Source organism: Homo sapiens, chromosome 12 (genome assembly GCF_000001405.40).
Source record: "Homo sapiens chromosome 12, GRCh38.p14 Primary Assembly".
In the NCBI taxonomy this organism is placed as follows: domain Eukaryota; kingdom Metazoa; phylum Chordata; class Mammalia; order Primates; family Hominidae; genus Homo; species Homo sapiens.
This window is the reverse complement of record NC_000012.12, coordinates 22694082-22718249: the sequence shown is the minus strand read 5'-3', so window position 1 is coordinate 22718249 and position 24168 is coordinate 22694082. Positions and strand designations below refer to the sequence as shown.

The 24168-nt window shown below is 39.6% G+C and overlaps 1 long non-coding RNA gene across 16 annotated transcripts in view, besides 1 other annotated feature; it reads right to left on the bottom strand.

The window, feature by feature from the left end:
- LINC02955 (long intergenic non-protein coding RNA 2955) overlaps positions 1–18391 on the bottom strand; it is a 491729-nt gene extending 473338 nt beyond the window's left edge. For 14 of the 16 annotated variants that reach the window (NR_187514.1, NR_187512.1, NR_187515.1 and 11 more), the window contains exon 1: positions 18156–18391. This is a non-coding gene — a long non-coding RNA (long intergenic non-protein coding RNA 2955). Of the gene's footprint in view, positions 1–9509; positions 9595–18155 lie in introns of all 16 variants that reach the window. The other 2 variants (NR_187497.1, NR_187499.1) reach the window with 1 other exon arrangement.
- Positions 18194–18735: an enhancer, noted in NCBI's record as "OCT4-NANOG hESC enhancer chr12:22852449-22852990 (GRCh37/hg19 assembly coordinates)". NCBI's record gives its function as "activates a minimal SCP1, AML or CMV promoter by ChIP-STARR-seq in primed H9 embryonic stem cells {active_cell/tissue: H9 hESC(primed)}" and the evidence as "EXISTENCE:reporter gene assay evidence [ECO:0000049][PMID:30033119]".

Sequence of the window (24168 nt, the reverse complement as noted above, 5' to 3'; positions counted from 1 at the left end):
TGAAATTGGGAGGCGGAGGATGCAGTGAGCCAAGATCATGCCATTGCACTCCAGCCTGGGAAACAGAGCAAAACTCTGTCTCAAAAAAAAAAAAAAAAAAAACAAGTGTGATAACTGGAAAAGAAAAACCAACAACAACTATTATTTACAGACTATATGGCTGTATATATAGAAAACTAGAAAGAATATATAATGTTGGAACCATAAAAAATTTTAAATGGCCTGGTATAAGATTATTGGTGTGAAGATCAATATTAAAAAGGCAACTGCATTTTATTTTTTTATTAAGTTTTTAAAAAACTTTTACTTTAGGTTAAGGGCTACATTAACAGGTTTCTTATATAGGTAAACTTGTGTCATGGGGATTTGGTGTACAGATTATTTTATTACCCAGGTAAGAAGTACAATTATAGTTTTATATACCAGAAATAGACCTTTAGAATGTATAACTTTTAGGGCCAGGTGTGGTGACTTATGTGTGTAATCCCAGCACTCTAGGAGGCCAAGGCAGGCAGATCAGTTGAGGCCAGGAGTTCAAGAACAGCCTGGCCAACATGGTGAAACACTGTCTCTACTAAAAATATAAAAATTAGACAGGTGCGCTGGCATACTCCTGTAGTCCCAGCTACTCAGGAGGCTGAGGCGTGATAATTGCTTGAGCCTGGGAGGTGGAGGTTGCAGGGAGCTGAGATCACACCACTGTACTCCAGCCTGGATAATAGACTATGAATCCATCTCAAAAATATAATATATAAATAACTTTTTAAAATACCACTTAAAATCCAACAATAAAAGAAAGTTGTGTGAATAAACTTAACAAAAGCTTCCCAAGATTTCTATGAAGAAAAACACAATACCTTACTGGAAGGTATGAAAGATAACTTACATAAATTAGAGACATACCATGTTCATGAATTATATGAATAGGTATGTATTATAACAATGTCAATTACCCCTAATTATTCTATACATTCAATTTAATTTCAGTCACAGTCCAATAAGGTTTTTAAGGGACATTAAAAGCTAATTTAAAAAATCTCATGTAGAATTAATGGACAGATAGAAAGATGGATATTTATGTGACAAGGAAAAATAATAAAATGTGAATTATAGAATCTAGGTGGTGGGTTCATGAGTGTTTGTTTACTGTAAAATCCTTTTAACTCTACTTTTGGACTTTTAATAGCAAAATGTTTCGGTGGGGTGAAAATCATTTGGAAAAGCCAATAGCTAAGAAAAGCCCAGATGCTCCTAAAAAGGAAGAACAAAGTGCTTTACCACATGGGAAAACTTTGAGTGAAAGTTATTAAGACAGTGTGGTATTGGTGTGAGAACAGACAACTGAATCAACAGAATATGATACAGACCAGGCGTCTATAAAAACCTAATTTATATCAGATCCTACATTAGAGATCACTGGAAAAAGGATAGACTATTCAGTAAATGGTGTGAGGAAAATTGGTTATCCATATGGAAAAGAAAACATTGAAGACAAAACTTTAAAACTAAAGAAAACGGTAAGGGAATGTCTTTTAAATATCTTTATAAAATAGTTTTTAATAGCAAAAAGGTATAACTCATAAAGGAAAAGACTGATCAATTTTATTACATTAAAATTTAAAACTGCTATTCAACAAAAGATGGCATCAAGAGAGTAAAAGGTTATCCTGCAATCTGGAAAGAATTATTTTCAACTCATATAACTGAAAACAGATTAATATCCATATTTTATAAAGTACTCTTATAAATCCTTGAGAAAAAGACAAACAACCCTCCAGCAAAAAATGGGCAAGTGCAGAAGGATGAAAGGATGAAAAATCTAAAAAGCCTATCCAGGAGGAAAGAAATACACAAACTCCGTTAGGAAAATTAACATTTTTAGTGGTCCTCAACCTTAAAAGAATCAAGCTAAAACAAAAGTGGCACGTGCTTATGATATACTGTGGTAAATTTGCAAATCTCCAATAAATTATAATCTAGAAGCTTACAAACCACACAGGACTTCATGAAGACTTATTTATTACTCTACCAAAAAAAAAGTATGAATTATGGCTAGGTATGCCTTTCTGTCCTCGGAAAGACAAGGAGACAAAATCCTAACCAAATGTCCTTTTTTTCTCCCTGCCCTCCTTTCGTCTTTCCTTCCTTCCTTTCTTTTTTCCTTCATCCCTCTGCTCCTTCCTTTTCATTTTCCTTCTCTCCTCCTTCTATCCTTTCTCTCTGTCCTTCTGTACTAGTTTTCTAATACTGCATAACAAATTACAAAAAAACTTATCTGGGTGCAGTGGTGCACATCTTTAGTCCCAGCTACTCAGAAGGCTGATGTGGGAGGATCGTTACAGCCCAGGAGTTTGAGGCCAGCCTGGGCAACATAGAAAGACCCCATCCCTAAAAACACAGTAACAACAAAAACCCTTAACAATACAAAACAAAATTTGTATTTCACAAGGTCCGTGAGTCAGGAGGCCAGTACAGATTAACTGGGCCCTCTGTTCAGGGTCTCACCAAGCTGAAAGTAAGCTGTCAGCCAGTGCTCTGATCTCATCTGTGACCCAGAGTTCCCTTCCCAACTTATTCAGATTGTTGTCAGAGTTTAGTTCCTTTCATCGATAGGACTAAGGGTCCAATATACTTGTTTGGTGTTGGCTAGGAGTAACTCTCAGCTCCTAGAGACTGCCCTCAGGTCCTAACCCTCCTACAAGGTGCAGCTTACTTCCTCAAAGACAGCAGGAGAATCTTTCTCATGCTTCAAATCTCTAACTTCATTTAAGAGCTCACCTGATTAGGTCAGGCCCTCCTAGGATATCCCTTTTGATTAACACACATTCCACTGACTAGATACCTTAATTAAGCCAGAAACCACAACTTACTTAAAATGCCTGCAGCATAAAGTGACAGGTGGCCATGAGTAGGAGAAAGCTAGAGAAATAAAGGCAGAATCACAGAGGACTTTACAAACCACATATGGAATGTGACCTTCATCCCAGCAACAGTTAGAAACCAATGAAGGGCTCGAAGGTTTTTAAGAACAAAAATGTCAGAATCAAATGGTCAGATCTGCACTTTAGAAAGATGGCTCCTAGGGGGCAGTAAGAAGGAGAAAGAGGGAGGTTCCACTTGAACATGTATTTGTGGGATGGAAGGGGAGCATGCGACAAAAATAACTCTGGAAGTTGCCCTCCAGATACTATGCCATGCCCTTAGAAATTCTTTAATTTGAAAAACAATTGCTGGGCATCTATTCTACACCCAGAGACAAAGCTTATAACCAGAAAAACAATCATATGTCTGTCTTCTCCTAACATGCCACAAAAGTACATGCATGGCTTTTGAAAAAATAGTTGAGAGAGGGCAAAGGTCAATATGCAGAAGGGAATAAAATTTAGGGGAGAAGGTTAGCACACCAAAATGTATACTGTATCTTCACTTATGGTTTCCACTTAGGATAAAATATTCTTAAATTTTTTTGAAGTCAAAGGGGTACAAGAGACTTGGTCAGTTACAAAGACATTGGGTCCACAGGATAAAATTGTTTAGGGGAAGAACCAACATTCCAGAGAGTGAGACTCAGCAAAACTTTTCACATGGATCATCTGCATTATTTTAAGTAGTAAACTAAGAGCCAGAAGAGGTCAAAATGAGGGAGTGAACCGTACGCAGCAGGGTTTGCAGAAAAAGGTCTCCTGATGAAGGGAAGACAGACTATAGCTCTGCAGAGAGGAGGGGCAAATCCTAGTAATGAATTTATCTCTATACGCGGCGTTCGATTCTTTCTCATTTGATTTGTCAAAGGGCTTAGGGGTTATCTTGTGATTGGAGAGCCCCGCATGTATAATAAATTGCTAACTTCATCTCTTGACTGACTTGTAAATCTTGAATCTTTTCAGGGATTAACTACTTGCTAAATTCATTTATCAAAATTAAAACTAGGTTTTCAGAATGTTGCCCTCCAAATCCCAAGAAACTACGAAAGATTAACCTTTTGCAGAGTCTTCCAGGCTGCGCACCAGTGGGTGACATCAACACAAGTGATTAATAGTAGGTATCTAAGGTCTGGGGGAGATGCTGACAGACATTCCCCCCACATGATGGCATAAGTCAGCTACTAATCAACCTAAGAAAACACACACCCTGATACTCTTCATACTAATGAAGCATTTCCGATTAGTATTTAGAACATCCATAGGAATTCTGTTTTGCACTAGAACCAGAGGTTTTAACAAGTGTGTCAAACCTCCTTAATGTTGTAAAACAGAATTCATTAACTCAGCCATTTTTAGTCATTCTAGATGCATCAGGAGCAGTGGCAGCATTAAACCACAAATCCAGAGTTGTAGCTATTCTGTGATGCTGTTTTGAAAACAGAGCTTTCGCTAACATTTTTTATACCAGGGATCCTTGCACCATTTGAGCCATATACAACCCATGTGCTCATCACAAAGAAGCGCACCCCTCTCTGTTGTCTTTCTCCCTTGTCTATTTACAGCCTGTCGTGTCATCTTCAGGCCTTAGAAGCATTTCATCCAAATATCCACATTCACGCAAAATGTTCCAACACCTTCCCAGTACAATCCTTGACATTTTCTCTTCCCTCCCTGAGTGGCACATGCTGTGAACCTGCTCCTTCTTGCATCTGAAATGGCAGCTGCGCTAGTTAATGGTCCCCTCAGAGCCTCTACCTCCATTATTCCTCTAAAACAAACTCTTTGTCCCAGTTCATAACAGCCATGATGATGCCCTAAAGAAAGTGACACTGAGACTTTGACTCCCACTAAAGGGTACAGGTTAGGCCGGGCGCGGTGGCTCACGCCTGTAATCCCAGCACTTTGGGAGGCCGAGGCGGGCGGATCACGAGGTCAGGAGATCGAGACCATCCCGGCTAAAACGGTGAAACCCCGTCTCTACTAAAAATACAAAAAATTAGCCGGGCGTAGTGGCGGGCGCCTGTAGTCCCAGCTACTTGGGAGGCTGAGGCAGGAGAATGGCGTGAACCCGGGAGGCGGAGCTTGCAGTGAGCCGAGATCCCCGCCACTGCACTCCAGCCTGGGCGACAGAGCGAGACTCCGTCTCAAAAAAAAAAAAAAAAAAGGGTACAGGTTAGACCCAGATGGAGGTATAAAATGGCATGAGGCCCAGGCATGATGACTCACGCCTGTAATCCCAGAATTTTGGGAGGCTGAGGCGGGCAGATCACCTGAGGTCAGGAGTTCAAGACCAACCTGGCTATCATGGTGGTCTCTACTAAAAATACAAAAATTAGCTGGGCATGGTGGTGCATGTCTGTAATCCCAGCTACTTGGGAGGCTGAGGCAGGAGAATCGCTTGAACCCAGAAGGTGGAGGTTGCAGTCAGCTGAGATCGTGCCATTGCATTCCAGCCTGGGTGACAAGAGGGAAACTCCGTCTCAAAAAATAAAAAGTAAAATAAAATAAAAATAAAATGGCATGGGCCATTTTATTTAATACAATATCAAAGTATTCCCAGATTCCCTTAACTGTACTTCATGGAATTACTCCCTCTGAATTTTCTAAACCAGTGGTGAGCAATCTTTTCTTTTTCCCTTGGGGACTACTAGCTTACAGGACAATCATTTAACAGGAGATCCTAAGAATACAGGTCATACTAATTCCATTCATTTTATAAGCATCTGATAAAGCCAGGATTACTGAGCATTTATGGCTACCATGCACCGTGTGAAGCAATTTATATACATTATTTCTACCAGTCTTTACAACAATTCTCTGAGATATATTCAATTACCAACATCCATTTAAACATGAGGAGACTGAGGCACTACAGCGTAAGTAACCTGCCCAAAGCTAGCGAGTGCCAAGAGCGGGTCAGACCCTGGGCTGCCTGGCCCCAAAGCCTGGGCTGTCCTCACTGATGACTGCCTTCTCTTTCACCAACGGTGAAGCCCACAGTAGGCCCTGGAGTCACGTGGATGACGAGTCACATGGATGCATAAGATAATATTTCTGCTCCACCACCACCTGGGGCTTATATTCCAATAAAAACAGGTTAAAACTTATTACAGAGCTAAGAACAGAGTTATAGTCCAGCATGGAGGATGCAGATATGAACTAGCCTAGAAGACTGAAGAAATATTCCCCAGAGGAGTGACCTTCAAGCCGTGAACATGATAAGAGAGTATTCAAAGCAGAACAGGCGCCATCCTAAAGCACACTGTTAGAAAAGGGCACGTGCTAGGAAAGGCAAGAAGCTTGACCTGACTGTAATAGCGGCAATAGAGGCAGGAAGAGGAAAGGAAGGAAGAGGAGGAGAGTGACAGGAAAAGGTTAGGTTAGGCCCTAGTGGCAATGCTTAAGAGTCTAAATATTATTTTTCAGGTAAGGACACACAGTGTTTCTGAGCAAAAGCATTGCATTATGAAGCCTGACTTTGGGGGGTTTTTAAAGGAATACTAACCACGTGGAAGTGTGGTAGAGAGAAAGGCCAGAAGCAGAGACACCTGTTTGGAGTCCAGGACAACAGTGAAAGCAGGTGGAAAGGAAACACCAGACAAGGTACATGTCAAAGTGTCTCCAATGGACTTATCACCATAGTTTATACCATGTACTTATTTATTGATTTGTTTATTTTCTGTCTCCCACAAAATTATATGTTCCATGAGAGTAGGGATTTTTGCTGAATTCTTAGCGCTGAGGACATTGCCTTACAGAACCTCCATAAATGAAGTAAACTAAAAGGAGTTTAGGGGTTGGTTGGATTTAATACACGAGAGAGTGGAGTGACTGACAGATTGCTATAAAATTTCTAGCCTGGGAAACTGGATGGATCATGACAGAGATCAAGAATACAAGACAGAAAGGTTTTGAAGTATCTACAGGATTCCAGATTGACATATGTGGAAAGCTGTTGGAAGTTTGGGACTGGAGCACAAGAGAAAGGTGGAGACTGGTTTCAGAGATTTTGGGATCATCAGTATAGAATTAGAGATGGTGCTGAAGCTATGGAAGCAGAAAAAAAAAAACAGAGCCTATGAGGAGAACAGGGGAGAGGAGCAGAAAAACTATGAGCAAACAGAACATTTATGAGATAGGAGAAGCCAGAAAAAGAAACAAGGAAGAAATAATGAGAAAGATAAAAGAACTGGGAGAGAAGGGTGTTCCTGAAAACACCAGAGGAAAGCATCCTGAAAAGCAGAACCCAATGCATTTGGGGACAATCAGATGTGCTATTGACTATACATAGGTAAAAGAGAAAGAAGATAGAAAATAGACCATCTGTATTTAGAAACCAGATGATCATTACAATCTTTATAGAGGACATTGTGGGGCATGGAGGGGAGGACTCAATGTGAATTGCTGAAAGTTACAGAGAAGGCAGGAATAGGGCTACCACCAGCTCACTAACCCATTTGTGCAAATTAGAGAAAAACACCCCTTCCTGGCAGAGGCACAAAGGCACAGAGGCTGACAGGTGGAGCACCCCTTCCTCTTGAGCTGAGTTCCTTTGTGCAGAGTGTAGCCTGCCCAACATCATGCAGTGGCCCTTGCCGGGATTTAGACAAGGAATTCGTTTAAAATAGTGAGACCAGAATGCCAGGACCAGTGAAGAAGTCAATCTGAGATAATGAGAAAAGATGGAGTGTGGTGCAGGAGGAGATAGAAAAATAAAATGCACCTCAGAGTTTAAAAAGCATGGTAAATGTTTGAAACAGAAAAATATAAAATTTATTAGAGGCAAGAAAAATGATGATCTAACCCATATTGATAGTTCACCTGAGGCTAAATACTAGTGCCACAAATTGTACAGGTATATAGTTTTTTTTTTTTCTGCAACGTTCAGAAGCCCAGCAACAGGAACAAAGAAAGCAAGTTGTTAGCTTCATCTTAAGTTTTTTTGGAAAATTACAAAATGCTTCACTACCCATTTTAAAAGTTGACAGCAATCAGAAAAATCCAGACAGAAGGAAACTACAGAAAAATAACTGTTCCCTTAACAAATAAATTGCAAGTTGAAAAAAAGAGACAGAAAGTGGAAACCTGTAGAATAAAAAATATTAAGAGAAAAACCAACCAACCACAAATTGAACTTTATTTGAATGCTGATTCTGATAGACACATTATAAAATTATTTTTAATTGACATTAAGGGGCAGTTGGAAATTGGAACTTTAACTGGATTTTGTGATACTAAGAAATTGTTACTAGTTTTAGGAGCAATACTGGCATCATGATTAGGTTCAAGAGTCCTCACGAATGATAGACATATACAGATATATTTATAGATGGACTTGTTACTGAACTAGAACTTGCTTTCAAATAAAATAGGAAGCAGGAAAGTGAGTGGAATACAGGTGAAATAAGAGGGGCCATGAACTTATGACCTTGAATCTGGATGACTGACCTATGGTGAAGGCTGTGATTGGCTCCTATGATAGGTTCATAAGATTTACTATACTATTCTGTGCACTTTCATGTAGGTTTTAATTTTTCTATAATAAATTCTGTTGAATGTAGTGACAAAACTAAATTCTACTCAGTGAATAATGGAAAAATTCCACTAGTTCTAGTGATGGCCAGTTAAGGAGATAACATAAGAAGTGACGGAGAGAAAAAATTTCAAAAGAGGGATACATAAATTAGAAAACAGCAGAAAAATGTAAAAGACAAAATACAGAGAGAGAAAGCCATAAACACGAACAGAAAAAGAGGGCACTATCAGAGTGAAAGCAACACGAATTTAAAGACTCAAAAACAGACGTGAAATTACATTACCACCTTGTGGTCTTTTAGGATATTGCCCCTAAATACTCAAAGGATGATGTTTTTTCACACCTGTAGGCATTTGTGGGGGTATCGTCCCTATGCTTGAGCCAGGTGTAATTTAGTTAAAGGCCATATCTAAGCTTCAGATTGGAGATTTCTCATTTGTGATATAAACTTTTTTGACTCTTCTAATATTTTCAGACTCTATCCCCACTTGTTACAAGGTCTCAATATTTCTATGCTTCATTGTCCCAAATTTCTCCCTTTATATATTCAGGGTTAGCTTCCAATTTGGTATTTCAAGACTTTATTAACAAATTCTTATTCACCTTGTGCCAATACTTAATGATTTCTTCTTCTTTTTTTTTTTTTTTTTTTTTGAGATGGAGTCTTGCTCTGTCAGCAGGCTGGAGTGCAGTGGCGTGATCTCCACTCACTGCAACCTTCGCCTCCCAGGTTCAAGCGATTTTCCTGCCTCAGCCTCCCAAGCAGCTAGGACTACAGGTGCCCACCACCACGCGGTGGCTCACGTCTCTAATCCCAGCACTTTGGGAGGCGGAGGCGGGCGGATCATGAAGTCAAGAGATCAAGACCATCCTGGTCAACATGGTGAAACCCTGTCTCTACTAAAAATTCTTAATAATTTCTTGCCTTTGGTTTTATAGTATTTTTTCTCAAGATGAGGTCTTGCCCTGTCACCCTTTACCATTATATCTCCTGCCTGACTGATCTTATAATAATTTCTGACTCTTATATTTTTGAGCATTCTACTCACCTTTCTTGTACCTTCTCAACTCCATAGCAGTTACTTTTCTTACAGCATGTGACAAAGCAGCATAATATATTCATATAATGTGGCACTGTAAGACAGGAAAGGATTGGACTGTCGAACCAAAAGGAATCTATGGCTGTAACGGCCCCGCTATTCAGCCACATGACCCAAGCCAGGACATTCTATCTCTCTTATACGCAACAGTCCAAGTAGCCCAAATGCTGTTACCATTCTCCCATATTATCTTTTAAATTCACCCTCCTGTCCTCTCCTCCTGTGTGAGCCCCTGCAGTCCTCATCTCTGGCATGGATTGATGCACTAGACTCCTAGCTAGCCCCCCTATTTCCAGTCCAGAGCCCCTCCAACTGACCCTCCACACTGCACCAGTGACTTCTCCAAAATGCACATGGGATCATGTGACTTTCCGCTTAATATCTTCCAGCACTTCTTAACAACCACAAGAATACTAAATGCTAACAGCCAACTTCTTAATAATACAACTCCTGCTGCTTTCTAGGATCATTCACTGCTGTTCCCCCAACTTACACAGGCTGCTGCAGTCAAACCCGGCCTTGCTGTTCCCAACTAGGCCACTGCATACTCCATAATTCCTTGCATTGGTACAAGCTGTATCCCTGTCTGAAAACCCACTTTTATGCCAGGTTAACTCCCAATCTTGATTAGTCTTAATTCAGACTTAACACTCATGACTCGGCTCACTCCCCGACTGAGTATTCCCACAGCATTCCCACACTATTACACTTAACTCCCTGTATTGTAATGATGCATTTACTGGTCTCTCTATAACCCCCTACCCCCAGCTCCCCAAAACTCCAATGCAGGGTAGAGACTGAACTGTGCCGTATTTATTTCAGAAGTCCCAGAACCAAGCACAGTGCCCAGTAAGGCATGGGTATATAAGGAAAATTGGCTGCCTTCTACTCTGCAGCTGTTTGTAGGAATTTGATCTCCACAAGATACAGGTGCCCAGAGCTTTAATGAAGAAAAGGTGATACCTGACCGGGCGCGGTGGCTCACACCTGTAATCCCAACACTTTGAGAGGCCTAGGCAGGCAGATCAACATAAGACCAGGAGTTTGAGACCAGCCTGGCTAACATGGTAAAACCCCATCTCTACTAAAAATACAAAAAATTAGCTGGGTGTGGTGGTGCACACCTATAATCCCAGCTACTAGGTAGGCTGAGGCATGAGAATTGCTTGGGCCTGGAAGGCAGAGGTTACAGTGAGCCGAGATTGTGCCACTGCACTCCAGCCTGGGTGAAAGAGCAAGACTCTGTCTCAAAAAAAAAAAAAAAAAAAAAAAAGGAAAAAAAGAAGGAGATACGGTTTGTGGCTTAGCACACTGGGCAGGTATTTCTTAATGATGATTAGCTACTGTTAGCAAGGGTTCTCAAAGTTCAGGTAAGAGTAAAAATTTAAGTCTTTCAGAAGTAAGTACAACAAAATATATCAGAAACATGCATATCATTTGACCCATAATTACACTTGTAGGAAGTGAAATTGACATTGAGCACAAAGATTTGAATATAATACTGTTTTTCACAGCAGTGTTAATATGACGGGAAAAAAAAGAAAACTAAAAACCTAAAATGTCCAGAATAGTCACTTACCAAAGTTAATCATGGTATAACATATAATAAAACCCAGGCAGCTATTAAAAATGAAATGAACATTTTTCTGAAAAGCAAAACAAATGTTGTTACAAAACAACTGTGGTCAGTTTTTTAGTGTGCATCTGTATGTGCATGTGGGTTCATTTCTGTCATGGCCTAATGCAATAAACTTATGTACGTACATGACATTCACAGACAAACAGATAGCCAGCATAATGAAAGGCTGGAAAATACTTAGACCAAAATGAAAATAGGGTTATAAATAATTTAATTTTTGGTTTCTCTGTAGTTTCTGATTTTTCTCCAGTGAACAAGTATCACTTTTGTGATAATAAGGGGGAGAGGGAGGTAATAAAGGTTACATTTTTAAGAGAAGAAGAAGAAGAAAAGAAAGGAGGCTGCTAAGTTCCTAAGGCCATCAAGCAAGGAGACTATAGGAAGCTCACCTGAATTTAAAAAAGCATCTGAATCTTAATAACAGAAAGACCTATGGAGTTTTACAGAAGGTTAAGCCAATTGGTTACGTGTGCCTTAGTGTCAAGTCCTCAAATCAATATGTACTTGAGGTCAATGTCAGTGAATGGAAATTATTTGGAGAGGAGGGAGGTAGGGGAAAGAGGTGATATCTGTCAATATTATGGGTCAGACTATTCACATAACCCTTCTTCCTTTTGTTGCCCCACCCCACCCCACCCCACCATTAGACCTCCACTCTTACTACAGGGACTTGGAGAATACTAAAGACTTCCCTTCTTCATGGAGAAAAGAAGGATATCTGTGGAAGTAGCACAAGAAGAATACCTATGCCATACGCCCACCCCTCTATCTGGATCTACATCTCCAGCCTTGGACTTCCCTCCCCTAACTAGAGGACAGATTAATTCTTTCCAAGTGCTTAGAAGTTTGCGTTTAGATTTCATCAAAAATTTTCCACTGATTGATTTACAAATCAAATATTTAACACAAAGAACCTCTGGTCTCATTAGAATAAATATAAATAAATATAAAATAGTTGTGTGGAGAATTATTTTGTTCAGACCAAAAAAAATCACTAAAACCTTAATAGATGAAAGCTGAAGATAAACAAATGGAGACACCAAGAGTACACTGAGTTTTCATGAACTTCAGCTATGATGTTGAAAAGGGTGCAGGTAATGGAAAATATTTATTGTTATCACGTTTGTTTTAAGAAGAGACATTTGCATTTCCCGTCTTATGGGGAACATTATTAAGAGGAAAATAATTGAACAAGAGAGGACACAAAGGAAGTCACTAGTATTGAATGGGATAAAGAGCATTTTTACTTCTGAGGCTGAAGAAAAGTAAATGAGGAGGATCCATAATATTTTTAGTTTTGAGGATGGAATGCAGTGGGACATTTTAATTGTTTGTGAAATTAGAGGCAAGATCAAATGCTAGGCAAAGAGGGGTACAAGGGTCAGACAGTGGTTTTAGAAGTATCACATGTTTTTGGGAAAAACGCAGCAGATAATGTCTTCTTGGGAAATATGTGTTGTCCCAGGTGATGTTCTCTGGGAAGCAGAGACTGAAAAGGAGTAGAGAGTACAAAAGTTCATCAGGGAGTAACACCTATGAAGAGGAATTGTGTCTTAGGAGGGGCTCAGTTTGCTTTCTATTGTTAGCTGGTCAGAGCTTCAGAGGCAGCAGATGAGGCTTGGTAGGTAGGAACTCAAATAGAGCCTACAAAGAGCCTCCATCCCTGCTAACGTGACCACTTCATTCATGTGCTCATCATGTTAGCCCTAGGGTGGCCACTGATGAAAGCTGGCTAATATGAAATGGCCAAGCCATTTTGTCTACTTAGTTGTTTAGTGGCTCGTCCATGGTGGATTCCATGTTTGGGGCATGTTAGTGTATGACAGAAAGATCCTTAAACTTCGTGCCTACTCCCATATGTCTAACTCTATGTCTCTCTCCCAGATCTTGTCACTAATCTTCACATCTTCTTTCCTTCCATCTCTGACCAGCTCATCATTGCCCATGAGTCCTTGTATAGCATAACCTCCTTCCACACAAACTGGATAACCTAATAAACCACCCAAAACTCTGTCCACTAGGAATATTTTCCTTCACTACTGTCTTTCAAGACCATCCTGAGTGGAGCAGTAATTCAGCTGCTATCCACATCCAGCTTACACTCGTATGAAGCCACCTGTTTATAAAGCACGCCCAGGCTTTCTCCTTTACCTTCAGCTGGTCACGTAAGACCTCCCATATATAAAATTGGGGAGGGGTGATGGTGCCAATACGATGAACAGCATAGAGGGATGGGTTAACCACCCATTCAACCTGCTTTTATCTTCTATCCTGTTCATGTCTAGTCCCCGGTTTCCTATTTTAAATTTAAAATGAATTGCCACTGGGCCCATCTGAGTTTTTAATCTGGTAGGACCAGCAGAATCCAGATCATGATGGCCAGTTCAAAATGCATAATAACTGGGGGCCCATAATCAAGTGCTCCATCTCTTGATTATTTGGGGTCCAGTAGCATACCAACAGCTATTTTTCAGAAGGCAATTAATTCTATGCTGCAGATGGCAACACTACTCCAAAACCTAAGGGGCCTGATTTGACATTCCTCCACTGGGAGAAATTCCGTATTACATCTTTTTCCACCATTGACATCGCCAACATCATAGGGTCTACCAACCATATCGTTTAAGTGTCCAGGCTACTTTCACCACAGGCTTGACTTGTTGAAAAGTTCTTATCAGCTCTAAGCCCCACTCAAATCTGACAGTCTTCCATATCATCAACAATATGGGGTGAAACAGTATTCCTAGGTGTAGGATATGTTGCCTCTGCAATTCAAAGAGATTTCCTACACACTATGATTTCTTCTTTGTAGGCAAAGATGCACAATAAAACATTTTGTCTTTTACTTTGGAGGGGGGTGTCCCAGCATGATCTTTACCACTGAACCCCTAATTATTTTAAGTCACAGGTCCCTAAATCTGCTTAAGGATTATCACACATGTGTTTTGCCAAGGCCTTTAGCATGTTAGCTACCTCTTGTTCATCCTGCCGGATCAGCAGGATGTCACTGATGTAATGGATTGGCATGATGATTTCTTGGGTATCCAGATGGTTTAGATCTATCTGGACTATATTATGGCACATCATGATGATGTTAACAAAGCCTTGGCATATGGTTGACTCCCCATGCAGTTTAGTGGGTCAAAACGGAGAAATGAGAACCGAAACTCACGAGGGCCTTGGTCTAGTCTTGGGGCATCCCACCTGGATGGCAGTTCCAATCTCAGCTGGTCACAGTACCATAAAGAGACTTTTAAAATTACCTAGATGGTACAGCAAAGCATGGGGACCACTGCGGGGGCTCTATGTGCTCACATCTAATGATGATAATAGTCTCCATAATTCTCAACTGGTCAAACTCCCTAGGCTGTTACTTCAAGCTTGTTGATTGTGTTGATAATCATGACCCCTCATTTCTGGCAGTTAAGCACCACCATCTGGCCTCTATGCTTCAGAGCACTATCATTTCCAATGCTACCCATGAGAAACGTTCTGTGATAGCCTCTCCTACCTACAGCACTGGCTTACAGAGAACTGTCACTGAACCTCTTGGCTGGTGGCTCTTTCATCAGCTTATTCCTGATGGCCATGGTGAATGATGTGTCCTCTGTGCCTCCCTATAAAACATAACCTTCTGATGTGTCTTCTGGCCTTATATATACAATATTATATGTTCAGCCTGTCCACTGTTCTCAATCCTTTACTGTAATATCTTTTACTAATGTATGTCATAGCAATTCGGGAATTTCGGCCTCATTCATGTGGGCCATCATTTTTTGCCCTTGTAGCAAGTTTGCATCATCCCCTGAAGCCCTTATCAGAATGTTACATTGCATATCCCAACAGAGTACCATCAAGTCAATAAATTCATTGTAAGTTACCAAAGAGACCAGCTCTGTTATTTAGTTTTCAATTGTTTGCTAATTGACCTCAGCTTTTCTTTATCTACAGATTATCAATGCAACTTATAACAACAATTCAATTATCTTTATATTTATCATTCCCCTTATTCATTTCAAATTCCTGAATAATCACACTACACCAATGGATTTCAATCCACTAGCACACCATCCTAGTTCATCATTAGTGAAAGTAGGTCACGTGTTGCTTAACCATGAGGATATGTACTGAGAAATGCATTGTTAGGCAATCTCATTGTGTGCACATCATAAAGTGTAACTACAGAAACCTAGATGATACAGCCTACTACATACCTAGGCTGTGTAGTACAGCCTATTGCTCTTAGATTACAAACATGTACAGCTGGTTACTATACTGAATACTGTAGACAATTGGAACACAGTGGTATCTGCGTATATAAATATACCTAAACATTAAAAACCTACAGTAAATATATAGTACAAAAGATACAAAGTAATACACCTGTATAAGGTACTTTCCATGAATGGAGGTTTCAGGACTGGAAGTCGTTCTGGGTGTCAGTGAATGAGTGGTGAGTGAATATGAAGGCCTACGCCATTACTGTATACTGCTGTAGACTTTATAAACACTGTAGAGTTAGGCTACACTAGATGTATTTTAAAATATTTTTCTTTCTTCAATCATAAATTAACTTTAGCCTAGTGTAACTTTTTTACTGAATAAACTTTTTTAACTTTTTGACTCTTTTATAATACTTAAATAAATCGTATTGTGCAACTGTACACAAATATTTTTTCTTTCTATCCTTATTCTATATGCTTTTTACAATTTAAAAATTTTTTTAAAACTTGTTTGTTAAAAACTAAAACACAAACACACACATTAGCCTAGGCCAACACAGGGTCAAGATTATCCAGACTAAGCCATATGAATTTTTCAGCTCCATTATCATCTTATGGGACCACCATTATATACGTTGTCCATCATTAACCAAAACATTGTTATGTGGTACATTCCTTATGAAATAATGATAACAGATATATTTAGTAACATTATACAATGATAATAAAAAATTATATCCCAGTAAAATTATAACTTACGTCCATTAGGAGATATATGATGAGGACATACATTATTGTTTGTGGTGTCGAAAAGTTACAGGCAACCTGAGTGTCCATCACTGGGAGAAAGGATACGTGAAATGTTTTCGATGGAAACTAAATGATTGTGCAGCTATCAGAAACACCTTAGAAATACAGATTCACAGAGCTACAAAAAGTAATCTTGAAAATATAGTGCTTGGTGAAAAAAGTGAGAATAAGAATGCAATAACTAATGTTATGTGAATTTAAATGGCCATAAAACTATACACATATTGTAAAACTATATTCAAATTGCAAAATATATACAATAAGATGGCTGCTTATTAGGAGCAGTGGAACAAGAGTGGAAGGCATGGGTAAAAGGGAAATGAATAAATAAATGAGAGCAAACTGACTAGGAGTGCTTTGCAAGGACAAACAATGTTAACATGGCTTTAACAGAAGAGTATGATTAACTCAGCTCCGTATTAATGAAGTCCATTGCTCTTAAAGGTGCAGTCTACAATGGAGACTCTGGAATTGGGGAGCATTGTAGTGCCCAACCTGGTTTTTACTAACTCTGTTTTTAGACTCCCTTTCCTTTAATCACCTAGCCTTGTTTCCACCTGAATTGACACTCCCTTAGCTAACAGAGCCAGACAGACTCCACTTGGCTCTTTCACTGGCAGCCCCTTCCTCAAGGACGTAACTTGTGCAAGCTGACTCCCAGCACATCCAAGAATGCAATTAACTGATAAGATACTGTGGCAAGCTATATCCGCAGTTCCCAGGAATTCGTCCGATTGATAACGCCCAAAGCCCCGGGTCTATCACCTTGTAATAGTCTTAAAGCCCCTGCACCTGGAACTGTTTACTTTCCTGTAACCATTTATCCTTTTAACTTTTTGACTACTTTACTTCTGTAAAATTGTTTCAACTAGACCCTCCCCACCGCCCAACCCGCCCCCTTCCTAAACCAAGGTATAAAAGTTAATCAAGCCCCTTCCTTCCTCGGGGCCGAGAGAATTTTGAGCGTTAGCCGTCTCTCGGTCGCCGGCTAATAAAGGACTATTAATTCGTCTCAAAGTGTGGCATTTTTCTAACTCGCTCAGGTACAACAGCATCAACTAGCAAAATTGTCACGGGGCAGGGCCAGCCCCAGAGGCAGGAGTGGTTGGATATATCCAAGTCTAAGAATTGGCTGGATATTGGTGAGAGAAAAATGGTAATGGCCAGTAGTTAAAGATGCTGGCAGGAGGACCTGAGGTGACATGCCAGAGTCTAGCCTACATAATAATAGGCCAAAGGGGGGATATTTGGACAGAAATGAATGCGGTCCAAAGTCTGGAGATTTTACGAGGTAAAAGAAAAGGTGAAGTGAAAGGAAAAAAAAAATGAAAAAAGCTGGATGAATAGAAAAGCATAGCCAAAGATTGATATTAGTTTTTACACTTCAGTGGTGATGCATTTTTCAGGTCAGGAGTTAGGCACAGATTATGACTATCCACATGGGATGTTGATATAAAATGGAAATGAATAATACTAAAATTTGAAGAGGCCCAGGCGCTTTCAGCCTGAGTTGCTGGAAGGGTCATTCTCAAGTAAGCTGCCTGTGGTGATAGCAGCAGTAGGAGACTGGGATTCAGAGATACTAAAGCTCTTCATGAGGAAGAAAGAGCAACCAGAATAGGAAATGACCAATAGGAAAGACAAGTTGGGTGTTACATGGCCATGTCTCATGAACTCCGCATAGGGCAAGTGTTTATTGGCAAGAGATAGCAGTGGGAGGCTAAGAAAATATCCACAAGCCTCAGCCCTAGATAAATGATTAATGAAAGAATGAACAGCCTTTGGGGACTGTGACTAAGTGGTATCCTCAGGAGAAACACTGTTCTCAGCTAAAGCAAGAAAGGGAAGTACTTTGTAAAATATTTTTATACTGCATCCCTAAACACCACCCTCAACATACACACATTTCCCTCAGGTACTTACAATAGAGAAGTCCAAAAACTGTCCACATAGCTACCACCTCTGCTCAGGCTGCCATAACGAAATACCATGGGCTGGGTGGCTTCCACAACACAAATTTTCTTACAGTTCCGGAGCCCAGGAGTCCATGATCAAGGCGCCAGCCAATTTGGTTTCTGGTGAGGGCTCTCTTCCTGGCTTGTAAACAACTACCTTCCTGTTGTATAGTCACATGGTCTTCCCTCAGTGGGGAAGCGTGTAGGCGAAGCTCTCAGGTGTCTCTCTTTATACAGACGCTAATCCTAGCAGGGCGAAGCTCTCAGGTGTCTCTCTTTATACAGACGCTAATCCTAGCAGGGCGAAGCTCTCAGGTGTCTCTCTTTATACAGACGCTAATCCTAGCAGGGCGAAGCTCTCAGGTGTCTCTCTTTATACAGACGCTAATCCTAGCAGGGCGAAGCTCTCAGGTGTCTCTTTTTATACAGACGCTAATCCTATCAGGGCCCCACCCTAAGGACCTCATCCAACCTTAATTGCTTCCTAAGAGGCCCCCATCTCCAAGTACAGCCACAAGGAGGGTTTGGCCTTCAACATTTGAACTTGGAAGGGGGACACAAACATTCAGTCCATTATACCATCAAAAAGCTAAGTGAAAATGACCCTTACTCAGGAAAAGCCTATATAAGATTTCAGAGAGAAAAAACTACAGGAAATAAAATTCAAAGCCTGAGACCTCCAAAGTTCTTTCCTTAAGGTAGGCAGTGTTCCGATACAGCACAGCCACAGCGACAGTCAGCTCCTGTATCTTCTGAGTGAGTTGAAATTTTAAGTAGGGTGCACAAAGGGAAAGAAGTGATATACCACAGTAATAGAAAAATATTAGAAGATCTCAATTTGTATATTAAAAATTTTTAGAAGGATTTTTGTCAGAGGTGTTTGAACCAGAGTGACTCCATCTTGAATAGGGGCTGGGTAAAACAAGGCTGAGATCTACTGGGCTACATTCCCAGAAGGTTAGGCATTCTTAGTCACAGGATGAGTTAGGAGGTCAGCACAAGATACAGTTCACAAAAACCTTGCTGATAAAACACCAAGCGAAAAGGCAGCCAGCTAAAACCCACCAAAACCAAGATGGCAACAAAAGTGACCTCTGGTCATCCTCACTGCTCACTATACGCTAATTATAATGTATTAGCACACTAAGAGATACTCCCACCAGTGCCAAGACAGTTTACAAATGCCATGGCAATGTCCAGAAGTTATCGCCTATGGTCTAAAAGTAAGAGGAACCCTCACTTGTGGTAATTACCCACCTCTTTCCCAGAAAACTCATGAATAATCCATCCCTTGTTTAGCATATCTGTATACTCAGTCGAGCAGCCTATACCACTGCTCTGCCTGTGAAATAACCATTCTTTATTCTCTTACTTTCTTAATAAACTTGCTTTCACTTTATAGACTCACCTCAAATTCCTTCTTGTGTGAGGTCCAAGAACCCTCTTGGGCTCTGGATTGGGATCCATTTCTGGCAACATTTTGGATACCATATCTTAGCATTTTAGAAATAGAAAAGACTCTAGGGCTAATCTTATTTAATCTGATCATTTTATAAATGAGAATATGAAGCCCAGAAAACCCATGGTCATTAATGGGACTTCTTGCCACCTGAACAGGGCCTTTCTACTATGTAATACTTTACCTCTACTTTCTGTCTCCAGTGAGATACTCAGGGTTGACAAGGATAAACAAGAGAAAAACTAAATTCCATTCAACCTTTACAAAGACTGGTGCAATTAGCAACCCCCCTCTCATCCTTCATTTGTATTGCAAAGGTAAATGAGCTGATATTGTCAATACAATTGCCAGGTAATTTAAGACAAAGAATTCTCCTCCTCTAACCAAGGAAGGAAATTCACTGGCAAATGTGGTCAAATGGTTACATTTTCTTTCCAGTTAATGAATTTTCTGTTTTAGAATATTTCAAAGCTGTAACTCAGAAATATTTTTTAGCAAGATTGCTTTAGGTTCTTGTTAGGGATGTCACCAAGACAGACTTTTACAAGGCACCTACACAGCCTTCTGTTTCCATGTGGAAAAGAAAAAAGAAAACCTGCAAGAAGCACAATAACATTTTAAGTTCTTTCCAAGTGTTACAAAACTAGAAAAAAAAGAGAACAGTTTTAGTTAGCTTCTTGAAATGTGGTGAGAAGATTAAAATGGCAATCCTTATCAACTAATTACCAAATATATATTTTTATGTCTAAATAATTTTTCAACTATTAAGATTCATAATATAGTCGAGAAAACCAACTAGAGAAATTGCAGTAGAAACCAGAATGTTTGATTCATGATGTTGTGTTGAATTAAAATAACACAGTAAAAATACCTGATATGTCAAAGAAGAGTTTTAGGCTGATTCTTCTTTTGTGATAATCTCATTGACAGAAGGGGTCAGCGGAGATAAAGCAATGCAACTGCCAAATCTTAATGACAGCCATTTTTAAAAATAAAGTTTTGGTATCAAAAGTCAATAATGCTTGGCTTGGGTTTTATTGACTTCCATGCAATAGTCTGAGAAAAACAATTATAGGCTTTGGCTGAAACTCATCTAGAGAGATAAAATCGTTTAATGCTTGTTTCAATGTTATGGACACACATTTTTAAGACTATACACTGGTGGGACTTCAAAAGCTGCTGGGATGCTAGATTCTAAGAAGACTGAATTCTAGTCACCTCTAGGAAATCAATGGCAGTTTACAAAGTATTTAAATACTTCCCCCCTCAATTCAGGCTCAACTAAATAAATTAAAACCAAACCATGTAGAAACATGTGGTTAAAAAAAATGAATTCACAACTTCCAAAGTAATGAAGTATAGGTTCTTCAATGCAGATTTGAGAGCATCATATCAACTCAGAAAAAAATTACTCTGGACAATTATTTCCAGTTTTTATCTCTTTCCAAAATCAAATCCTGCCTTCATGGCTTTGTGGAATGTGTTCCTAGAGCGCTGCACTGAGACAGGGGATGGGGGCAAAAGAGACAGCTGACGAAGCAGAAAGATGGCTTTCTGAAAGTCTTACCTCCAAAACAGTTTTTAAAAGTTTTAACAGAGTAAGAGTTAACCTGGTCAAGAGGATTAGAAGAAAAGTATGAACAACAACAAAAAAAATTGAATTTAATATATATAATTGTAGAGGTAAGAATGAAACAAGGATAGGGACACTGTTTGACTGTATGGAAATGTCATATGTTCTAACATTCAAAGAATGTTAATTAAATAAAATGGGAGAAAAAAAGAGAGAGAGAGAAGCAGAGTAACATCACCGACTGTTCAATAAATAAGTTGGAGTCAGAGGATAGAATTTAAAACTGACAGGCAAGACAGGAAAAGCGAAATAAGAGAAAAGGACCCTATAAAAATTATATAAAGAAAACCACTACAACAAAAATACAAACCTTCCTGAATACAAATAGCAAAATAACAAAAAAGACAAACTAGATACAGAAAAAATAACAAATATCAACAATACATAGTAATTTTAACACAGACTAATATCGCCAGAGTTGAGTCCAAACATATCAGTCATACAAAAAATATGAATGGGTACATTAACATGAAAAGATTTTCAAATTGACTCACAGGGTAAAATTCAATTATATGTTGTATATAAGAGACACATTAAAACAGTAACTCAAAAAAGTTAAAGGGATGAACAAATATAAACCAGGCAATTAGAAATAAGAATGGAGGGTTATGATCCTAATGTCAAAGTAGAATTCAGACCAAAAAGTATTAAATGAGATGAAGAGTGAAACCTTACAATGGTAAAATCCACAATTTACAATGAACATCTAACTATTATGTATATTTATGCACCAAATAACACAGCAACAACCTATATGAAGTAAAAACTACAAGAGATACAAGGTGAAATTGACAGAATCACATAACGATCAGGAACTTCAACATATCAAACTTTAACATATTATAGGGACAAAAAAATGAGAATGACATTTCCCAAATTTCGTAAGACATAAACTTATAGATTCACATGGTTCAAAACCCAAGCAAGATAATAAATATAAAGTAAATTGCACCAAAGCATACCATAATCAAATTGCTGAAAACCAAATGAAAAAAGAAAATCTTGAAAGTAGTCACTAAAAAATAACACACTATATACAGTGACATTCATTTGAATGATCAACTGCTCATCAGAAACAATGGGGGTCAGAATAGTGTTTTTAGAAAATACAAGAATTGAGGAATAAAGGAAATTTATGTGTACAATTTGCTCTCAAATAATTCCCAAAATTATAGATGTAGAGAGAAAATGATAAAACAAAGCAAATACTTATTGGAGGACATGGGAAAAAATAGGAGTTCACTAAATGATTCTTGTGACTTTTCTGTATATTTGAAATGAGTTCAAAATAAAGTTACAAACATGGATGAAAAAGTATAGAGGCATGTGTGTGTATATTAGTCTACACATATTTTCTAAATGTCCACTGATGGAATGTAGAAGTAGCAAGAACTCAGACCGGGCGCAATGGCTCATGCCTGTAATCCCAGCACTTTGGGAAGCTGAGGCAGGTGGATCACAAAGTCAAGAGATCGGGACCATCCCGGCCAACAGGATGAAACCCCATCTCTTCTAAAAATACAAAAATTAGCTGGGCGTGCTGGCGTACGCCTGGACTCCCAGCTACTCAGGAGGCTGAGGCAGGAGAATCGCTTGAACCTGGGAGGTGGGGGATGCAGTGAGCTGAGATCACACCACTGCACTCCAGGCTTGTGACAGAGCAAGACTGCATCTCAAAAAAAAAAAAAAAAAAGGAAGTAGGAAGAACTCAGTAGTAATAAGCACACCTGGCACCCAGTCTTGGTTTCTAAATACCATTCTCTAATAAATAGAAAAAAAAAAAAAGAGAGATCAGAACTCCTTGAAGAAACAGTTGAATTGAGGGTTGGGGCAGGGAAGGTACAAGATGAGCCTGAAACACCTCATGTTGTTAGAAAAAGAAGTGCTCAAAAAATTATGTAGGCTTACACTGCAAGTGCTAGAGGTTAAGAAATAATAAATACATAAAAATAATTATGTAGGTGAAGTGGCTACATTGTCTGGGGTAAATACCTGGGGTTTGTCATCTCCTGCCATGAAAATTTCGGACACAGACACACACAAGGACGTTAGGAGCAGAGGTTTAATAGGCAGAAGAAAGAGAAAGGAAAACAGCTGTCTAGTGAGAGAGAAGGGACTTTGGAGAGGAAAAGGCCAGCCAGCCACCCATGTCCGGATTTTATAGACTGGCTTGAGGAAGCAGTGTCTGATTTATGTAGGGCTAACAGATTGGGCTAATAGATTGGTTCCATCATATTGCCTGGGAATGCTGGACGCCCCACCCTAAGCTTATTACGCAAATGAATTTTCCCCTTGGCCGGCACCATCTTATCTGCTCCTTACTGTACACGTGGCTGGCAAAGAAGGGAAGACCTGCTGCCATTCTGAACATGATTTGAACGTGATTGGCACAACTGCCGGCATCTATGTCCACAGCTCAATTTTACAGGCTGCTCTTTGTTAGAAGGGAAAATGATTTGGGGCTGCTTTCCTCTTCTTTTTTTTTTTTTTTTTTTTTTTTTGGAGATGGAGTCTTGCTCTGTTGCCCAAGCTGGAGAGCAGTGGCCCAATCTCAGCTCACTGCAACTTCCACCTCCTGGATTCAAGCCATTCTCCTGCCTCAGCCTCCCGAATAGCTAGAACTACAAACACACACTGCCACGCGTGGCTAATTTTTTTTGTATTTTAGTAGACACAGGGTTTCACCGTGTTACCCAGGCTGGTCTCGAACTCCTGAGCTCAGGCAATCCACCCACCTTGGCCTCCCAAAGTGCTAGGATTACAGGCGTGAGCCACCTAGTTAAAAGGAAAACCTTACTGAGGACTTCCATACCTTCACTATCTGCATCAGTAATTTCTTCTCAATTCCTGTACCATAGGCATGTTGAAAGGATACACAAGCCAAGTTGA